Source organism: Homo sapiens, chromosome 1 (genome assembly GCF_000001405.40).
Source record: "Homo sapiens chromosome 1, GRCh38.p14 Primary Assembly".
NCBI lineage: Eukaryota > Metazoa > Chordata > Mammalia > Primates > Hominidae > Homo > Homo sapiens.
In genome coordinates this window covers 224,955,731-224,975,963 of record NC_000001.11, presented here as the reverse complement: position 1 = coordinate 224,975,963, position 20,233 = coordinate 224,955,731, and the positions used below count along the sequence as shown (strand labels likewise).

The 20,233-nt window shown below is 35.3% G+C and overlaps 1 protein-coding gene across 25 annotated transcripts in view; it reads right to left on the bottom strand.

Annotated features, from left to right (window-relative positions):
* The window catches only part of DNAH14 (dynein axonemal heavy chain 14), a 469,633-nt gene that overhangs the window by 423,323 nt on the left and 26,077 nt on the right, over positions 1–20,233 (bottom strand). For 21 of the 25 annotated variants that reach the window (XM_011544062.3, XM_011544067.3, XM_017000296.2 and 18 more), the window contains exons 4-8: positions 15,662–15,811; positions 11,355–11,485; positions 8,381–8,533; positions 7,090–7,205; positions 1,811–1,873 (exon numbers count right to left, since the gene is read on the bottom strand). In XM_011544062.3, the coding sequence (XP_011542364.1) occupies positions 1,811–1,873; positions 7,090–7,205; positions 8,381–8,533; positions 11,355–11,485; positions 15,662–15,811 (613 nt within the window). Of the gene's footprint in view, positions 1–1,810; positions 1,874–6,131; positions 7,206–8,039; positions 8,285–8,380; positions 8,534–11,354; positions 11,486–15,661; positions 15,812–20,233 lie in introns of those variants that run through there. The other 4 variants (NM_001349911.2, NM_001367481.1, NM_144989.3 and 1 more) reach the window with 4 other exon arrangements.

Sequence of the window (20,233 nt, the reverse complement as noted above, 5' to 3'; positions counted from 1 at the left end):
GAAATAAAGATGTTCTTTGAAACCAACGAGAACAAAGACACAACATACCAGAATCTCTGGGACACATTCAAAGCAGTGTGTGAGGGAAATTTATAGCACTAAATGCCCACAAGAGAAAGCAGGAAAGATCCAAAATTGACACCCTAACATCACAATTAAAAGAATTAGAAAAGCAAGAGCAAACACAATCAAAAGCTAGCAGAAGGCAAGAAATAACTAAAATCAGAGCAGAACTGAAGGACATAGAGACACAAGAAACCCTTCAAAAAATTAATGAATCCAGGAGCTGGTTTTTTGAAAGGATCAACAAAATTGAAAGACCGCAAGCAAGACTAATAAAGAAGAAAAGAGAGAAGAATCAAATAGACGCAATAAAAAATGATAAAGGGGATATCACCACCGATCCCACAGAAATACAAACTACCATCAGAGAATACTACAAACACCTCTACGCAAATAAACTAGAAAATCTAGAAGAAATGGATAAATTCCTCGACACATACACACTCCCAAGACTAAACCAGGAAGAAGTTGAATCTCTGAATAGACCAATAACAGGCTCTGAAATTGTGGCAATAATCAATAGCTTACCAACCAAAAAGAGTCCAGGACCAGATGGATTCACAGCCGAATTCTACCAGAGGTACAAGGAGGAACTGGTACTATTCCTTCTGAAACTATTCCAATCAATAGAAAAAGAGTGAATCCTCCCTAATTCATTTTATGAGGCCAGCAACATCCTGATACTAAAACTGGGCAGAGACACAACAAAAAAAGAGAATTTCAGACCAATATCCTTGATGAACATTGATGCAAAAATCCTCAATAAAATACTGGCAAACCGAATCCAGCAGCACATCAAAAAGCTTATCCACCATGATCAAGCGGGCTTCATCCCTGGGATGCAAGGCTGGTTCAATATACACAAATCAATAAATGTAATCCAGCATATAAACAGAACCAAAGACAAAAACCACATGATTATCTCAATAGATGCAGAAAAGGCCTTTGACAAAATTCAACAACGCTTCATGCTAAAAACTCTCAATAAATTAGGTATTGATAGGACGTATCTCAAAATAATAAGAGCTATCTATGACAAACCCACAGCCAATATCATACTGAATGGGCAAAAACTGGAAGCATTCCCTTTGAAAAGAACATTCTTGAAAAGATAAAATTACAGAAATGGCAAACAGATTAGTGGTTGCCAAAGGTCAAGGAGAGAGTAGGAATAAGAGGAAGGTGGATATAGCTATAAAAGGCCAACACAAGGGAAACTGTGGTGATAGCAGTGTTCTATATCTTGATTATATATCATTGTCAATGCCCTGGCTGTCATCATAGACTGTAGTTTTGCAACATTTGGGAGGGAAACTGGGTAAAAGGTACATGGGATATCTCTATTATTTCTTATAACTGCATCTCAATCCACGATTATCTCAAAATAAAAAGTTTAATAAAAACAATTTTAAAAAACATTTGGCTGATGGAGATCCTAACAAAATAAGATTACTGTTGTCTACTTTAAATGACTTAATTATTCTTCTTCCTGGAAGCAAGAAGTTAGATAAAGTGACCAAGGGAACTCATCAAGGTTTTCCATAGTTCTATGACCATAGAATGGTACACTGCAAAACACAGTGTTTAATAGTCTTTTAAAAATAAAAATGGGTTAAGTTTAATCGTAAAGCAATGGAATGTGACTTTCTAATCACTGAATGAAAATGAAATTATATCTGCTTCCATAGTACATGTAAAACATACAGCTTCCTTTTGAAATTTTTATATATTGCGTATCAAAACTTACCTGCTCTTCTCTGTCTTAATTCTTTTAACATTCAATTTCCAGGTAACAAATGCTTTATTCATTCTGAAAGGAAAAATGCTTCTTATATTCCATATCCATAAACCACGTATTTATATGGAATAAATTTAGTAAAAGCTTAGTAATACCAGAATATTCTCTAGAACATATTTCATTCATCCTGAGTTACCTAAAGGAAATGCTAAGCCATATAAATTTTCTCCCAAACTATCAACAGAATATAGAGCAAAAGGTAAATGTAAATGAAAGTCCTTATAATTCTCATAGATACAGGATTCACTTAGCTGCAACATTCCAATAAATATTAAAAATTATTTTTAAAATACCGTTTTCCTTTATATGTTTATTGGCTTACTTCGAAAAGAGACTTCATATTTCAATAAAATCAAGATTCAATTTTCAGTGATAATGAAAAGGTACATTGATAAAAAGTCTGTATAGTGGTAAGTAAAAAATTAAGGCAATGTATGTCATTTTGATATTATATAATACTTATGTAAAAAATGCACTTGTAATTTTTAAAACTCAAAGAACCTACATGAGAAAGAATTGGAAAGTTTCCCTGGTTATTACTCATCATCAATAATTGTCATGCATTTTGAAAAAGACAGGCCAACTGTTTCTGCAAAGCTCTCTCAACTCTAAATGAATATGGCCACCTATATTATGCACGTGTGGGACTAGTCTAATGCAATATCACAATCACTCCCTTGGTAGCCTTTGCATCTAGAGGAAAACAACCACCTTTAAATAAACACTGAGATGTGATACTTGTTTGCCAATGTGAGATTACTTATGCAGCTAGTGAGAGCTAGTGGGAAAATAGTGGGGATAGGGGTGTGTCTGAGAAGCCAACCAAACAGCCAATCCTAGTGATGACGTTGGCTAATTTTGAATCAAAGATGGCTGAAAGAGGCCTGGAGCCATCCAAGCAGTTCAAAGAGCATCCCATGATATCCTTCAAACAGGCCCACCTGAGGCCTTGGAAATCAGGACTGCCTCAATCAAAATCTAGTAACTTGACCTTAAATCCGGCTCCAAAGAAGCACTCCACATAAGTTACTATTTCACTTTAATCCAAATCCATAGAGTCATGGTATCTCAGAACCCTAGAAGATCCCTGAAAATCCATAAGAATCAGAGGGGAACCCAGTGATAGTGTAAGGAGTATCTGCACCAGGTCACAAAAACTAATATACCAGAAAAGTTTCATGAGGTAAAACGATGATGCTGATGGTCTAATCACCCCTGTACTGGCATCACCAGCTTAAGTTGTTAACACTTCATCTTTATCTCATTTTTCTATTTGAAATATTACCTTTTATAATATAGTGATCTAAGAAAAACTATAAAGATATTAAAAATAAAATTGGCCAAGCGCGGTGGCTCACACCTGTATTCCCAGCACTTTGGGAGGCCAAGGCAGGCGGATCACAAGGTCAGGAGATCGAGACCATCCTGGCTAACACAGCGAAACCCTGTGTCTACTAAAAATACAAAAAATTAGCCAGGTGTGGTGGCAGGCGCCTGTAGTCCCAGCTTCTCGGGAGGCTGAGGCAGGAGAATCGTGTGAACCCGGGAGGCGGAGCTTGCAGTGAGCCGAGATCATGCCACTGCACTCCGGCCTGGGTGACAGAGCAAGACTCCATCTCAAAAAAAAAAAAATTAGCCAGGTGCGGTGGTAGGCATCTGTAGTCCCAGCTACTTGGGAGGCTGAGGCAGGAGAATGGCCTGAACCCAGGAGGCAGAGCTTGCAGTGAGCCGAGATCGCACCACTGCACCCCAGCCTGGGTGACAGAGCAGGACTCTGTCTCAAAAAAAATAATAAATAAATAAATCATAAAATTTAAAAATTAAGTAAGTCTATATTAATTGTACAACTTCAGTAAATATAAAATTAAGTACAAATTAAGTAAATATAAAATTTAATTTGTATTTTTAACTTGAATAAAGAAAATGAATCATTTTGACTATAGACATTGATGCCAAATGTCATGTAAAAAGATGATTCTTGTCCCATCTGCAGTTGAACTTAAAAAGTTTAATAAATGATAATTATTTACAGCAGAGCAGACCCTGAGGATTTATCAGAAGGCAAGGACAACAGTGGAAAGTCTGACACTGACAGAGTTTCAAATAAAAAGATACAGAAAATAGTACTTTGGATAATATCTTAAATTGATAATCCAGAATCAAAAACCTATCTAGCCCCAATTCTAGTTCCTAAATTACAGGGATGCAACTATCACCTATCTTTGACGAGAAACTTCTCAGAACTGTTACTCAGTCATCTACACTACATGTGACAGGTCCCAGAAAATAACAGAACCAGCTTCATTTCCTACCAACTTCATTCCAGGAACACCACTTCTACCATCAAATCCATACTAAACTTGTTCCTGCTTCACAACTTTGAAACTTGCTATATTCTCCTTCTGGAAGCCCCACATGGCTGTCTCTTTTTCATCATTTAGGTCTCTGCTTCACTGCCACATCTCTGACCAACCTATCTAAAGAAGCAATGCACACAGACGTCTCTAGTTCTCTGTTTTATTATATTTCTAGGCCTCATCACTATCTGAAATTATTTATTTACCTATTATTATCTATCTCCCTCCATTAGAATCTAAGTTCTATAGGAACAGAAACCTGTATATTTTTTCACAGTTCTATCTCCAGTTCTTACACCAGTGAAACAAAATAGGGACATGATAACATTTATTCAATAATTAATTTCTCTGTCACAAAATCCTTCTTCTCTTACAAAAAAAAAGTTTCTCAGGTCCTTAGTTATTTAAGCTATTTACATATTAAATAAACAATTTAAAATATTATTTTTCTGTTTTCCTAGTCCCCAATGGACAAAAACATATCACAAGAAAATGCAGACATTAGAGAAGAAACAAGAAAATTATAGAACTAGATACACACTAAAAGAACAACAATCTGGAACTACTTTGTGAAGAATCAGAGTCTTGAGAATCCTAATGTGATGTGATATAATGTAATGTAACATAATGTACCTTAAAACTAGATAAATTTTTAATCATGAACTTGAATCAACAAGCTGCCCCAGCTCCCTTACTCTGTTTTATTTTCCTTCAACTACATTTAGTCTCCACTCAATATTTTACCTATTTGCATGTTTTCTATTATCTCTCACCTACTATGATATAAATATTTGAGTGCAGGATAATTGTTTGGTTTGTTCAATACAATATCCCTGGCATCTAGAATAATGCCTGGTTCTTAACAGACTCTCAATAAATATTCATATAAATAAATATATGCACAGAAAAAAAGGCAAACCCAAGTCAACATAGTTGACTCTTGAACAACATGGGTTTGAACGGCACAAGTCCATTTATATGTACATTTTCTTCCACATCTGCCACCCCTGAGACAGCAAAACCTATCAGGGGAAATTCAGCCAGGTATCGGGCAAAATTCACCCCCAATATTTCACGTAGGTTCTTTTCTATATTCCCTAAGTGTCGGCCAGTCTGAGAAATAAAGGGACAGCATACAAAAGAGAGAAATTTTAAAGCTGGGTGTCCGGGGCAGACATCACATGTCGGCAGGTTCCATCATGCCCCCGAGCGGTAAAACCAGCAAGTTTTTATTAGTGATTTTCAAAAGGGGAGGGAGTGTACGAATAGGGTGTGGGTCACAGAGATCACATGCTTCACAAGGTAATAAGATATCACAAGGCAAATGGAGGCAGGGCAACATCACAGGACCACAGGACCGGGGCGAAATTAAAATTGCCAATGAAGTTTCGGGCACGCATTGTCACTGATAACATCTTATCAGAAGACAGGGTTTGAGAGCAGACAACCGGTCTCACCAAAATTTATTAGGCGGGAATTTCCTCGTCCTAATAAGCCTGGGAGCGTTACGGGACTGGGGCTTATTTCATCCCTACAGCTTTGACCATAAAATACAGCCGCCCCCCGAAGCGGCCATTTCAGAGGCCTACCCTCAGGGACGCATTCTCTTTCTCAGGGATGTTCCTTGCTGAGAAAAAGAATTCAGAGATATTTCTCCCATTTGCTTTTGAAAGAGAAATATGGCTCTGTTCCAGCTCATCAGTGGTCAGAATTTAAGGTTATCTCTCTTGTTCCCTGAACATTGCTGTTATCCTGTTCTTCTTTCAAGGTGCCCAGATTTCATATTGTTCAAACACACATGCTCTACACACAATCTGTGCAGTTAACGCAATCAACACAGGGTCCTGAGGTGACATACATCCTCCTCAGCTTACGAAGATGACGGGATTAAGAGATTAAAGTAAAGACAGGCATAGGAAATCACAAGGGTATTTATTGTGATAAGTATCCATGAAATCTTCACAATTTATGTTCGGAGACTGCAGTAAAGACAGGTGTAAGAAATTATAAAAGTATTAATTTGGGGAACTAATAAATGTTCATGAAATCTTCACAATCCACGTTCTTCTGCCATGGCTTCGGCCGGTCCCTCCGTTCGGGGTCCCTGACTTCCTGCAACAAAAACCAACCTCTACTTTTCCTCCACCTCCTCAGCCTACTCAATGTGAAAATGATGAGGATGAAGGAATTTTATTATGATCTACTTCCATTTAATGAGTAGTAAATTTATTTTCTCTCCCTTATGATTTTCCTTTTTCTTTCCTCTAACTTACTTTATTGTAAGAATACAGTATATATCTACCAGACAAAACATGTTAATTGATTGTTTATGTTACTGATAAAGCTTCTTGTCAACAATAGACTATTAGTATTAATAGCAAAGTTTGGGTAGAGTCAAAAGTTATACTCAAATTTTCAACTGTGTAGGGGGTCAGAGCCCCTAACCCTTGCGTTGTTCCAGAGTCAACTGTAGGGTGTATTTAAGTTTGCTTGACCATAAAATATTTTTACAATATTTATCCAAAGAGACTAAAATTAAGAGTTTTAATACTGAAAAGAGTAAACTTCCTTTATCTAAAGAAATTTTATGGAACATCTCATTCTTCTGTAACTTATGGCATTTCCTCATAAGTTACAGGTAACAAATGCTTTATTAATTCTGAAAGGAAAAATGCTTCTTAAATGCCAAAATTATTGGCATTTCTTCATAAGTTACAGAGGAAATGGGGTGTTCCGTAAAAAATTTTTAGATAAAAGAATTAGTACTATTTTCTACTGGTATTACTGTAGTAGAACCCAGATGTCACTCAGGCAACTGCTCCTTCAATAGGATCAAACTACAAAGAATTGGTTTCATTTTTTTCACCTCACCGGAAATCAGAAAATATCTTGAATTGCCGTAATAAATAGTAATGTCTTCTTTCTGATAGCCATTCCAAAGTAGGTATGAGTTCTACTTCCTTTACACTACCAACTATATTAATAACCTACAAAATAAAGCACAAAAGCATTATTTTATTTCTTTAAAAAATATGTACCATTTTCAAGAAATTAAGAAAGCCTGTATTTGGCTGATAACTTCTTGTAACTTCTTGCCTTTATAATTAAGCTTTTTCTATGTATGAATCCTCAGCCACTTTATCTATACCCAAATTTGATTTCCCTCAACACACTGCTTCTGTACTTGTCGTTTTCTAATGCTATTTCTTGTGCTCCAACAGAGAGAAGAGAAACTTCCTCCTCACCCTGAGATACTTTTCACAAATAGCTGTTCAGATTTGAGTCTCATAATTTTTACATTTTCTATAAAAGTAGTATTTATGAACTTAATTTTAGCTACAGAAATGTGTGTATAATCTTATAATCTCACCACCCACATACCCTATATTGACATTCAAAAACTACATGCCCTTCATCAAGGAGTTCTCTCTCTTCCCATGAGTGCCCCTCCCCTATCTGAATGTCACCACATAAAAAAATTTATTCCAGAGAGAAAAGTATACATATTTTTATCAGCACATATGTATCTACGTGTATATTCATATATCTATAGAAGTTTTTCCTCCATTCTCACTTGATACTGCATATTAGAGATATTTCTTTATTTGCACATACAGATCTACCTCATGCAAAGATGTGGTCTTGCCCACTAATAAAGTTCATTTTATGGGAGGCTGGGAAGGCAGAAAAAGGCAGACAGACATTAAACAAATCATTAAAACAAGTAATTGTATATTTTCAACTTGTGATAAATATCAAAATGCTATATAAGAGTGTAAAAGGGGGATTTCTACATCTGGCAATAAAGTTTCTGACAAATGTGCCAATAAAGAATATTCTTTTCTTTATTATTATAGTTCCCATTAAGCTAGCAAATGCTTGTTTTGTAGTTCTTCCTGTAAAAATTTACCCCAAGTATTAACAAAGTATTTGATAGATGAAAAAATTTATTAAAGTTGAATCTTCAAACCTAAATCTCTACACAAAAGGAAAAACTTCACTATTAAATAACATGCTCCCAAGGAGATTCTTATATATAAACTGCTCCACAAATGACCAAGTATCTCTGAAACACAAAGATAAATGTATGCAATTAAATTCTACCTTGGATAATATTTTTGTAATATAATTCTGAAAGCTTAAAACATCCATTAAACATTACCTTTGAGATAAATGAAGCAGTAATAACCCAAAATTCTTTGCAATGTTTAGCAGTATGAGCCGATACTACCTGAAGATCATATGGATTGTAAAGGGATTTAGGACTTTTCCGAGGAAGGCAATAAACAAATTCTCCATCATCTTCCAAAGGTTTCTGAGATTAAAAAAAAAATAATAAACAAATTTAATTAATTTGACTAAATTAACTAAATTAATACAATGGGTGAACAGATTACCCACTAAATTGAAACAATTTTAATACAGATTAAAAATAAGAATACTATATTTGGAGAAAGCTAACATCAAATTATGTCTAAACAATGTTCAACAAGATCAATCTTATGAAAGATTTAATATATTTAATTTTCATCCTTAAAAAAGGATCTTTAATTCAGAAAAAATTATCTATATACTTAATAATACATGCTTACTAATCCAAAGAACTTGATGACATACCTTTTACATATATGCCATCTTCTAGTATTTGTCTGCCAACACCAGAAATCTTTTGGGCATATTAAATTTGTCATTTATTTTGATAATGATGGTGGTTTGGTATAAGATAAAAACAGCTATTATTTGTTAAGTAATAAATATTTAATGAGTAATAACTCTTTCATATACATTATCTTTACAACCATAAGAGTTTATTAACTTTCATCTCTCATATTTAAAGAAACTAAGGCTTAATATTTTCAACTTCATTAAACAATTGCAGAAATTAATACTCTGATGGAGCTGAGTGAGGTGGTTCACATCTGTAATCTCAACTACTCAGGAAGCTGAGGTGAGGTCACTTGAGCCCAAGAGTTTGAGGCTGCAGGGAGCTTTACTCACACCATTGTGGCTTCAGCCTGGGTGACAGAGAAAGACCCTGTTTTTCAAATTTTAAAAAATGAATATTTTGATAAGTTAGATAATTTGAGAAAAGTCACAAATTCAGGAAATGGTGACGTAGGGATGTGAATCCAAGTCTGACTGTAAACCCATATTCTGAGCTATTGCAATAAACTATAATGCCTCTCCCACACTTGGCATTGAAAAATCAGCCATTCCACATTAAGGAAAATTTTAAGGAAAATTTATTTCTTTTAGCTTTAAAATAAAAGTTTCTTGAAACTTTTAACTTTTATTGATAAAAAATTCTAAAATCATAAGAAAACTTTAGTCTTTTCTGGATAATTAAATTTTACCATAAAAAAGCATTTAGTATTTAGTGATGTCCTCAGAAGCTATTGTGTAACTAAATGGTTTCCAATCACTGTAGTTTTAAATTTTGGATCCAGTTTTACACTTTTTAAAATTCTGTCTTCCTTGAAGATTACTTGTTTCTTCTCAATTATTTTAGCTGTTTCACTTTCTTATTTCAGCTTCTAATATAATCAATATTAAATCCTCAAAAACAAGTTTAAAAACTGCAAATAACAGGAAATAAATGAGCTCTAAATGATGACTTGTATAATGTATGACCTTTTTAATAGTTATTTGGCCATTTGAGTTATCTATATTCTAAATTAGGTTTCAAAACATTACTAAGAAACAAGGTAGATACAAATCTTCCAAATAGATCATATATATAATTAAAAATCAAATTATAAAAGCATAAGAATATGTTCCAATTAAATTATTTTTTCAATTAAAAACAAGTGTTTAATCATATTCTCAATCCTTTCTTCACACACAAATGAAATTCACTTTATTTGGGAGTCCAAGGAACCCATGTACAGCTATGGTTTTGTTTTGTTTTTAAACTACTGTGCCCACTACCTGCCAGGCACCATGGCATATATTTAATTTTCACAGTCCTCCACAGTAACTATTATTATCTCCATTTCAAGGTCAAAACATGAAAGCTCAAGAGGTTAGGAACTTGATAATATGGTGAGTGTATAGGTTCAAAACCAGGTGAATCTGATTTGATTATACATGTACTTTCCTTCATATTGTTGCCTCTGAAAAATGATTAAAAGATGATTTATCTTCATGGTAACAGTGTAGAGCAGGGCCAGGTGCCTGTTTTTGTAAATAAAGTTTTATTGGAACACGGTCACATCCATTTATATATGTATTATCTATCAATGCTTTGGTACTACAGTGACAGAGTTGAGTAGTTTCAAAATCTAAAATATTTATTACCTGGTCCTCTTCAGAAAAAAATCTACTGATCCTTGGTTGGAAGCAGTGGTTCTTAATTGTGCATTAGAATCATGTGGAGAGCTGAATAAAATACAGATTGCAAGGCTCTGCCTCTCAAGGTTTCTGATTCAGTGGGTCTAGGGTGCAGATGAGAATGTGTATGTCTAGTAAGTTCTAAGGTGATTCCAGTGTTGCTTGCCTGGGGACCACATTTTGAGAATTCCCTATCTAACAGTAGGGAGAGATGATCCTGTTCAATCTTAGAGCACCTGTAATAAATGAGGTCTCAGGACACACACCTTAGTTCTTACCATAGCTTTCACCCTCTGGTCATGTGACCTTGGACAAGCTAAAATTTCTCTGAAGAAAGAGGCTAATGGGTAAGAAAAAAATGAATAGCATAAGGAAATACAGACCAGACGAGATAGAAAATCAGGTACCAGGGAGTTAGAGTGTGAGAAGAACAGAATGTTACATTACCTAACAATTTCTTCTTAAATCACAGAAAAAGTGATATCCAGAAACCAAACAGTAGATTCAAGTTTCAGGCAGATGATACCCCTTTCCTGGGGACTCACTCAGAGAAAGTGATGAGAGGTGACAGACATAAACATTTTGATGTGTTATAGACTTAAAGTTTATATGCTTTATCTATTCTCCATTTCTTAAATAAGTAAAATGAAATGATGTCAAATACTTTTGCATTTACCATGAAATAATTGTAACTTGATATTAATGTAATGTTTGACTTTGACATAATATCTGAAATGAAATAAAAATTAAAATATAATTTCAATATTGATTTTTAAAGATCAAAATTAAATAAAATAGAACAATACCTTTAAAGTAATCTTCTGAATTGCAATTTTGGAGCTTCCGTATTTCAAACTGTGCTGCGGTAATATAGTTTGCCAACCAAGCTTTTCTCGTAGCCTAATAATATTTCTTATCACATCATCATCTTTTGGTTCTGGTATAGAACAATTTAAAAATCCAGTATAAGTGCAAATGTGGGCATCACTTAAGGATAATGCATAATATTACAAATATTTCTATATAGAGAAAAATTTAAATGGTAACAAAGTATACATAACGATTATTAGAGGAGAAAAAATAGCTCAAAACTCAGTTTTAACAGAAGTTAGAAAGAGGGAATAATATTTATGAATTTAAGAAAGATGTCACAAAAGACCTAATTCATAATTACACAGGTAGTAACAAGAGAAGAGACTAGGAATAGGAACTGGTTATACGGCTTTTCTTAATAAATGCCTAAGCTGGGGTAGGGACAGTTGGATCAGAAAAGTAGGGATGACAGTGTGGGATGGAGACATTTTTCCTAAGGATGCTCATCCCACAGACACCTTTCAGAACATCTCTCACTTAATCTCTTAGCTGACAATTGACAATCTTCTCCTTCTTGAAAGAGTCTCTTTTCTTGGCTTTTATTTACCATGCAATACAGGTTGTCCTCCTGGCCCTTAAACTTCCTTTCTTGATAGAACAAATCATGGAAAGAGAAGCATACAAAAAGCCATGCTAAGAAGTTATATTTCTGGCCCTCTAGAACTTACAAACAGCATTGGACTAAAACAACTTCTTTGCTAAGGATGAAATGAGACTTGAGCTCTTGTATAAGACACTATTATAACTAGGATGAGGCACTTGCATGACTCTAAGAGTGAGTCCCTCTTTACATTTTGTGCCCTAGGTGAGGTATTGAAAATTAGTATTAAGGATATGGTACAAACTGTGTATGTCTGACAAGAGGATAAGTAACATCATAGACCCAGATATAAAAATATATACCTTCTAGAAATCAAAATAGTGTGGTATTGACGTAGAAAAGCACAGAAGTAGAAAAAAATTAGAGTCTTGAAATATAACTATGTATATAAGCCAATCTAATAAGTGAAAAAGATAATTCAAATCAACAGAGCGATTATTCAATAAATCATAATGCAAAAGTGGTTAGCCATTTGAAATAAATATGCAGTTATATGCAAGTATAAATTATAGATGGATTAGAGCTATAAATGTGGAAAAACAAATTATAGAAATACTAGAAGAAAATATGGGAGAATATGTTTATAAATGTGGGGTAGTGAAGGCTTCTTGAAAAAGAATCAAAGCATGTTAAAAGGAAAACAATGATAAATTTGACTTGCTCAAACTTAGCAACTTATACACAAGAAAAGCTACCATACACAAAGTTAAAATATAATTAACAAATTTTAAAAAGATGTTTATAACCTACATAACAGGCTAGATATTACTATACCAAATATTTCAAGAATTCTTAATGATTAAAAAATAAACATTTTGATAGAAAGATGAACAAAAAATTTACAGGAAAAGATAAATGGCCCATAAACATATGGAAAAATATTCAACCTCATTAGTAATCAGGGAATTGCAAACTAAAATAAAACTGAAAACACATATCTCACTCAGACTGGCAAAAAATTTAAAATTGGAAAATATCAACTATTGGCAAGGGTATTCCCCTTGTGTAATATCGTGAAAGTATCATAAATTAGCATTTCCATTTTTTAGTGTAATTTGGCAGATTCAACAGATCTGACAAAGACTGTTCGAAAATGGAGGCAATTTCAGCAAATAAAATAAAGAACACTTTTTCAGAATAAATAGTAAAATATAAGGAACACATAACTTTCAAAAAGCTGGAAAGAAAACATTTTTCTAAAAGAGAGTTAGGTTAGTTCATGACAGAATCAAGAATGCTTACTAAAAAGAAACAAGGTCAGGAGTCTGGCAAATTTTGGCTGGGTCCTCTGCTCAGGTTCTCGCAGGGCAGAAATCAAAGTGTCAGCTGACCATGCCCTTATCTAGAGGCTGGGCTAGTGAAAGACTTGCCTCCAAGCCCCTCAGGTTTGAGGTGGAATTCGTTTCCTTATGGCTGTATGACTGAGGTCCCCATTTTCTTGGTAGTTGGCTGGGTACAGTTCTCAGCTAGCTTTAGGGTTCTTGCCATGTGGCCCTCTGTACAACATGGCAGTTTGCTCCTCAAAGGCAGTGACAGGGCCTCTGCTACTGCTTCTGGTCTCTTAAGGGTATATCTGATTAGGTCAGGCATGCCCCTAATAGTCTCCTTTGATAAATTTAAAGTCAACTGATTTGATTAAGGGCCTTAAATACATCTGAAAATCCCTTTGCCATATAAAATAACATAAAAGCATGGGAGTGACAGTCCATCATATTCACAGGTTCTGCTTCCACTTAGGGGGAGGCAATTATACAAAGCATGTACACCAGAGGGTAGGAATACTGGAGGGCATCTTAGAATTCTGTCTACAACTTTCTTTTTTAACAAAATGACAAAATGTTGTTAAATCCTGGTAATAAGTACATGAATACTAAATTATCTTCTCTATATTGTATATTTGAAATATTTAATAATTGTTCTAAAATCTAAACAAAATGCCACTTAGGTCTTTATCAGTTTACATATTCATGAATTTATAGAAGCTAAATGAGGGAAGCAAATTAAAGAAATGCAATCAGTAAAGAATTAGAATTTTATTTATCTGGCAGCCATTAAGCCTAAATTTTTGGCCTTTCTTACACTAGATACCAATTTCAAAACACTGAAGGACAATGCAACAAAATATTAAGAATTCTTAATGTACAGCAACATTTGTTGCAATAAAGCCACTGTGTCAGTTTCCTGGATGCATAATATGGTTTGGCTCTGTGTCCTCACCCAAATGTCACCTTGAATTGTAATTCCCATAATCCCCATGTGTCAAGTGTGGGACCAGGTGGAGTAAGTGGATCATGGGGGTGGTTTCCCCCATGTTGTTCTCATGATAATGAGTGAGTTTCATGAGATCTGATTGTTTTATAAGCATCTGGCATTTCCCCTATTTGCACTCACTCCATCCTGCCATACTGTGAAGAAGGTGCCTGCTTCTCCTTTGCCTTCCACCATGATTGTAAGTTTTCTGAGGCCTCCCCAGGAATGCAGAACTGTGAGTGAATTAAACCCCTTTCCTTTATAAAATACCCTGTCTCAGGTATTTCTTCATAGCAGTGTGAGAAAGGACTAATACAATGCATAACAAATTACTGCAAATTTAGTGGCTTCAAACAACATACATTTACTATCTCACAGTTTCTGTGGGTCAGGAGTCTGGATACAGCTTAACGGATCCTCTGCTTAAAGTCTCAAAGGCTGTAATCGAGGTGTTGCTTGGGAATGGATTCTCATTTGGAGGCTCTATTGGGAAAAGATCTGCTTCCAAGCTCCCTCAGGTTGTAAGAAGAATTCATTTCTTTGTGATTGGAATCATAGCAGCTTGCTTCTTCGAAGCCAGCAAAGGGGAGAGACTCTAGAACAAGTCCACCAGCAAAATGGAGTATTGGATAATGTAATATGATCACAGCAGTGACAACCCATCACCTATTAGTTAGAAGCAGTCACAGGTCCTTTCCACATTCAAGGGGAGAGAATTATACAAGGGCATGAACACCACCACGTCCGTGGAGGTTTTGTGCTATATGAGGTACTTATAATTTTGAGGATATTTATTTAAAGAAAGGATGAAGGGATGAAGCCTGTGTGAGTGAGAGGCCCTGAAGCTTAGGCTTCAATAGCTTTATGATAAATCCACCTCTGTACCATGGTGTTTCAGTGAAAATAGAAAAGTTTCCTTTCTTTTATAAAATTAAAATATTAATACTAAGAAGAATTTCAGTTATAGAGAAAACACAAACTAGAAGATGTTAGTGGAAGAAAATCTATTTAAATAAACTATTTATTTGGGGATTTAAACTCTATCAGGCAAAGGCATAAAATTGTTAAATAAAATGAAATCATCAAGTTTTACTACAGTTGTATGTAAAAAACCATACAGTTTATATTATAGTTCTAAAATCATAGCCTTCAGATATTGTTCTTAGTTAAGAACAGTCATTAAACAGTCTCTGTCAATTTTTCAACATAATATTTTAGATTTTCAAAAAGAATTTTAAAAGCATTGTAATAATCCTTAAGCAACCAAACACATAAAATTCAGTAAGACTGTTTTTTCTAAAGTCAGTGTCCAATATAAGCACACAAACCACAGAATAATCTGAAAAAGTATAGTGATTTCTAAGCAATTGGTTCAGTGATACCACATACCTGTTCTATCATAGGACACAGGCCTGGCTTTCCTAACATTTGGACAAGCATGAGTTTGATCCTTTTTTCTCCTTGACTTCCCTTTCTCCTTAAGGGAAGCTGGCTCTGGAGAAACCATATGTTGTTGAATTATACTTTCTCTAAGGTAATCTGAAAATAAAACCATTATTAACTGAATAACTAGTGTGAGCTGTAAATAATACCATAGTAATTCCACATACCCAGCAATACAGTTAATGATTATATAAGGCAGTATAGCATGGTAGTTAAGAGCACAGGCTGAATCCCACTGCCTGGGTTCCAAGCTCATATACAAGCTTTAACACTCATAGTCACATGATTTACTTTGTAAGTTACCTATCTGCCTTGCTTTCCTCACCTTTGAAATGAGAATTGTCACAGTAAGAACCTCATAGGTTGTTACAAGAATTAAATTAGTTAATACATTTAAAGCACACAGTAAGTGCTTACTAAGGTAAATGTTAGGTAACTTTATTATTAGGTTGATACAAAAGTAACTGTGGTTTTTGAATATTATACTAAATCTTTAAAGTGTGAATCCTCACATGAAATAAATACAGAAGAGGACCCTGTTTATTAACTGTAATTTGATAACTGAGCAGAGAAAATATTTAGAGATAAATACAGAAAAGTAACAAAAGGTCTATTTCTTATTTTGTCTATGGCTTACCTAATTGGTAGACTTAACACATAGAAGAATGGGGAAAATATTAAAAACAGACCTTTGAAGAAAGAAATACATTTTCTTGTTCTCATTCATTGAACAAATATTTCTGTAGTGCAAGGCATTGTGCTACAATTTAGTAAGGCAAAAGACACGATAATTACAAACAAAACAAAGGGATACAAATGAAATAAACAGTAAGTTTTATTTCAACCAATAGTCCTAATTCAGAAGAGAGATAATTTCCCACTTGTATAATCAGGAGACCACAGACCTCTCCTGTTCCAAAGATCAAATGTTGAATGATGGTAAGGCTTTCAATTGTGGGGTAATGAGGAGGAGGGTGGCTGGGGATGAGAGAAAGATAAGAAAACAAGAGGACTGTTCAGGAGATCACAATGAAAAAAATGTGGGCATTAGTGGAAAGATTGGTGAGGTAGTTGTGAAAACTTTCTTCTATCTTTAAGCTCTATTCCAAGAATTTCTCTGACCTCTCTACCTTAGTTGAAACCTAGTTATTCCCTATGGCACTACTGACATGCAACCCTCTGGTTAGAGGCTGTTTATATTCCCACACTCCATTTACCTCAAGATTGGAAAGTGAGCTTGTTTTAACACTCCTTACTCTCCATTCACCACTTCCAAATCATAACAACTTGCCCTCTTTCTTTAATAAATAAAAAAAATCCTATTCCTTAGAAGCTCATGCTTTTTGATTCCACTATATTCTTCCACTCTTCATTGATAAGTACCAATTGCCTGGTCACTCAATCTGGAACTCTGGCTCACGGGAGAGCCAACTTTCTCCATACTAAATCTGCCATCACATGGATGACTTCAGTGTTCATGAATTAAGACCCTGTCTAAAGCTGTGCTCTCCTCCCCCATTTTCTAGATGTCCTCCCATCACTAAGTCTACATCAATCAACCACATTCACAATTACATAATAGTGCTTGTCATCACTTGCCCTCCATCCTCTCAGCTTGTTTAATTCTCCCAACATGACCATTTTTTAAGCTCATCAGGAACTCCAGTCCATTGCCCCATTCCTTTCTTACAATCCATCATCCCTCTATTTTATTTCACCTTTCTCTTTATCCAGCTTAGATTATGTCTTTCCACAGCACTCTTGCCAATATCCGAAACTCCCACTTTCTGTTGGCCTCACCTGTATGGCAAAACGCTGCCCCTGGATAAAACCAACTCTATGTGTTCTTTGTGCCTACATCTGCACATCCTAGTGCTATTTGAAAGAGGCCCTACGTGGATTGGTAACCCCCAAAATTCATTTTAATTAACCACAAATGGATCCTGAACACAAACCAAAAATCCTATTGTCTGTCCAGTTAACTTGCTCTTCTTCCTTTTCAATGACTATTTCAGATTTTCTCCATGCTCCTCAAATCTCTAAACCTTTACCTTTCAGTCTCTCTCCTCTAAATGATCTCAAAGCCTACTTCCCAGGGAACAAAAAAAGCATCAGTGGGAATTCCTTCAACTTGCCATTTTCAAACAAACAAAGCAACCCACATGTGCACCCATCTTTCCCTCCTGTCCTCCTGACTTAGTAAAGGAGGTGTCTGGTTTTCCTCTCATCCAAGACCAATCCTTTCCACATTTTGTTTAGATCACGTCTCTTCATGCCTACACTATTAACTACTCCTTTTTTCTTTTGCATATCCAAGCAGCTCCTGCCTCAAATAAAACCACAGCTCCTCTGGTTATCAGTCTACATCCTGCCTTTCTTCACAGCTAAACTTCTCTCAAGAGTTGCATATAGTCACTAACTCTATTTCCTCATTTACTATGCATTTCTTATTCTACTCTGGTCTGGCTTTGGAACGCCACAAAAACAGCACTCACGTCCCATATTCTTGAGGTCAGTAAATTCAATGGACATTTTCTAGTCCTCATGTTACTTACCAGTGTTATTTGATACTTTAGACCACTCCTCCTTTTGGATACAGTTGTTTCCTTTGGGTGAGTCCTGTGACACCTCACACTCTGTCTTTCTTGTCATCCTATTCAGCTTAACTCTGACCAATCCCATGTCCTTTGCAGCTGTCCTTTTCCTGGCTCGTAATTGCTACTGTTCCTTGGCCCTGTTTTAGTCTCACTTTATACATTCTCACTGGTCAATCTCATCCATGACTATGGCTTAAACATCCACACACATGATTATTCCCAAATACAACACCTCAGCCCTAACTTCTCTGAGCTCCTGACACATATATTCAACTGCCTCCTAGACATCACTGGCATGTGTCAAAGGTACCCCAAATTCAACATGTCCAAAATTGAACTCATGATCCTTCCTCTAAACTCCTGACCTTTTTTTAGGACTTCTTGTCTTAGTGAATGGGACCACTATTCATTATTTTAAGCAAGCCCAAAGTGTAGGTATCATCTTTGACACCTCCTTCTCTCTCACCAACCCATCACCGTAACTGATAATTCTACCTTCAGAATATCTACAGCCTCATAAATGGTCCCCCTATATCGATTCTTGTTCTCTTCCAATCTGTTCTTCAATATACAGCCAGAGTGATCTTTACAAAACAGAAATCCTCATATTAACTCCTTGCTTAGAACCTTTCCACGGCTCTTATCTTCAAAGTATAATGACAAAATTCCTTAACGTGGCCAAATCCTTGCTTTACCCAACACTTGTATCCCTATCTAGCCTTATATTTCTTTCCTCTTTCCTAAGAAAAATAGCAAAAGGCTCAGAGTACTTCTACTTTTCACTCTGTTGGAGGGGAAGCTTTGTCCAGCCTGCAAACACAGCTATCTGTAAGGTCTAGGCACTCCACAGATTAAAACATTCTGGCCCAATGAAGGCCAGAATTCTGGAAGCTCAGGCCCCTTCCAGAAATCAAATATACCCATCTTCAGGCAGAGGATGAAGACAACTAAAGGTGTACCTAAATATTGTTTGTGGTATGGATTTAATAGGTAAAATAGGAAGAAATACAGTCATGTATTGCTTAATGACAGGGATACATTCTGAAAAATGCATCATTAGGCAATTCTGTCACACAAACATCTAAGAGTGCACTTACACAAACCTAGGTGGTACGGCCTAGTACACACCAAGGCTATATGGAATAGACTATTACTCCGAGGCTACAAATCTGTATAGCACGTTTCTGTACTGAATACTGTTGGCAACTGTAACACTATAGTATGTATTTGTGTATCTAAACACATCTCAACATAGAAAAGGTACAGTGAAAATACAGTATTATTATCTTATGGGACCATCATCATATATTCAGTCCATCATTGACCAAAATGTCGTTATGCAGTACATGACTATATATTATTACTAAAAACAAAGTATGGTCTAGTCCAGAGAGAACAGGAAACACTAATTTTGGCAGACCCTAAAACACCTGAGAAACAATAACATTTAAAGGGAACACAGAGAAGTAAAAATCCATAAAAGAGACTGAAAATGAGCAGATAGACAAGTATAAAGAAAGCCAGGTGAGTAAATTTCCTTAAAAGTCAAGGGGGAAAAATGGAAATAAGTGGTCAAATAATAAAATATTGCAGAATGGTGCAGTAAAATACAAATTATTTTATTTATAAATTAATTATTTTATAAAGATTAGCCACGAGGAGGTATCTGGTGACCTTGAAAGAGTCTTATCGGTAGAATGAAGGAGGTAGAATCCAGGTTGAGGAATGAATTAGAGGTAAGGAAGTCTAGGCTACTCTTTCAAGAGGACTGATAACTCTGAAAAGCTAATACAGAACTAAAGATGCTTCTGGGTTGTTTTGTTTAAGTTGTTTAAGCATGTGGCATGTTTATGTGCTGACAAAAAGAGCTAGGAGAAAAAAAGACATAAGAGAATATATCTGATGGACCCCAACTTCCTAT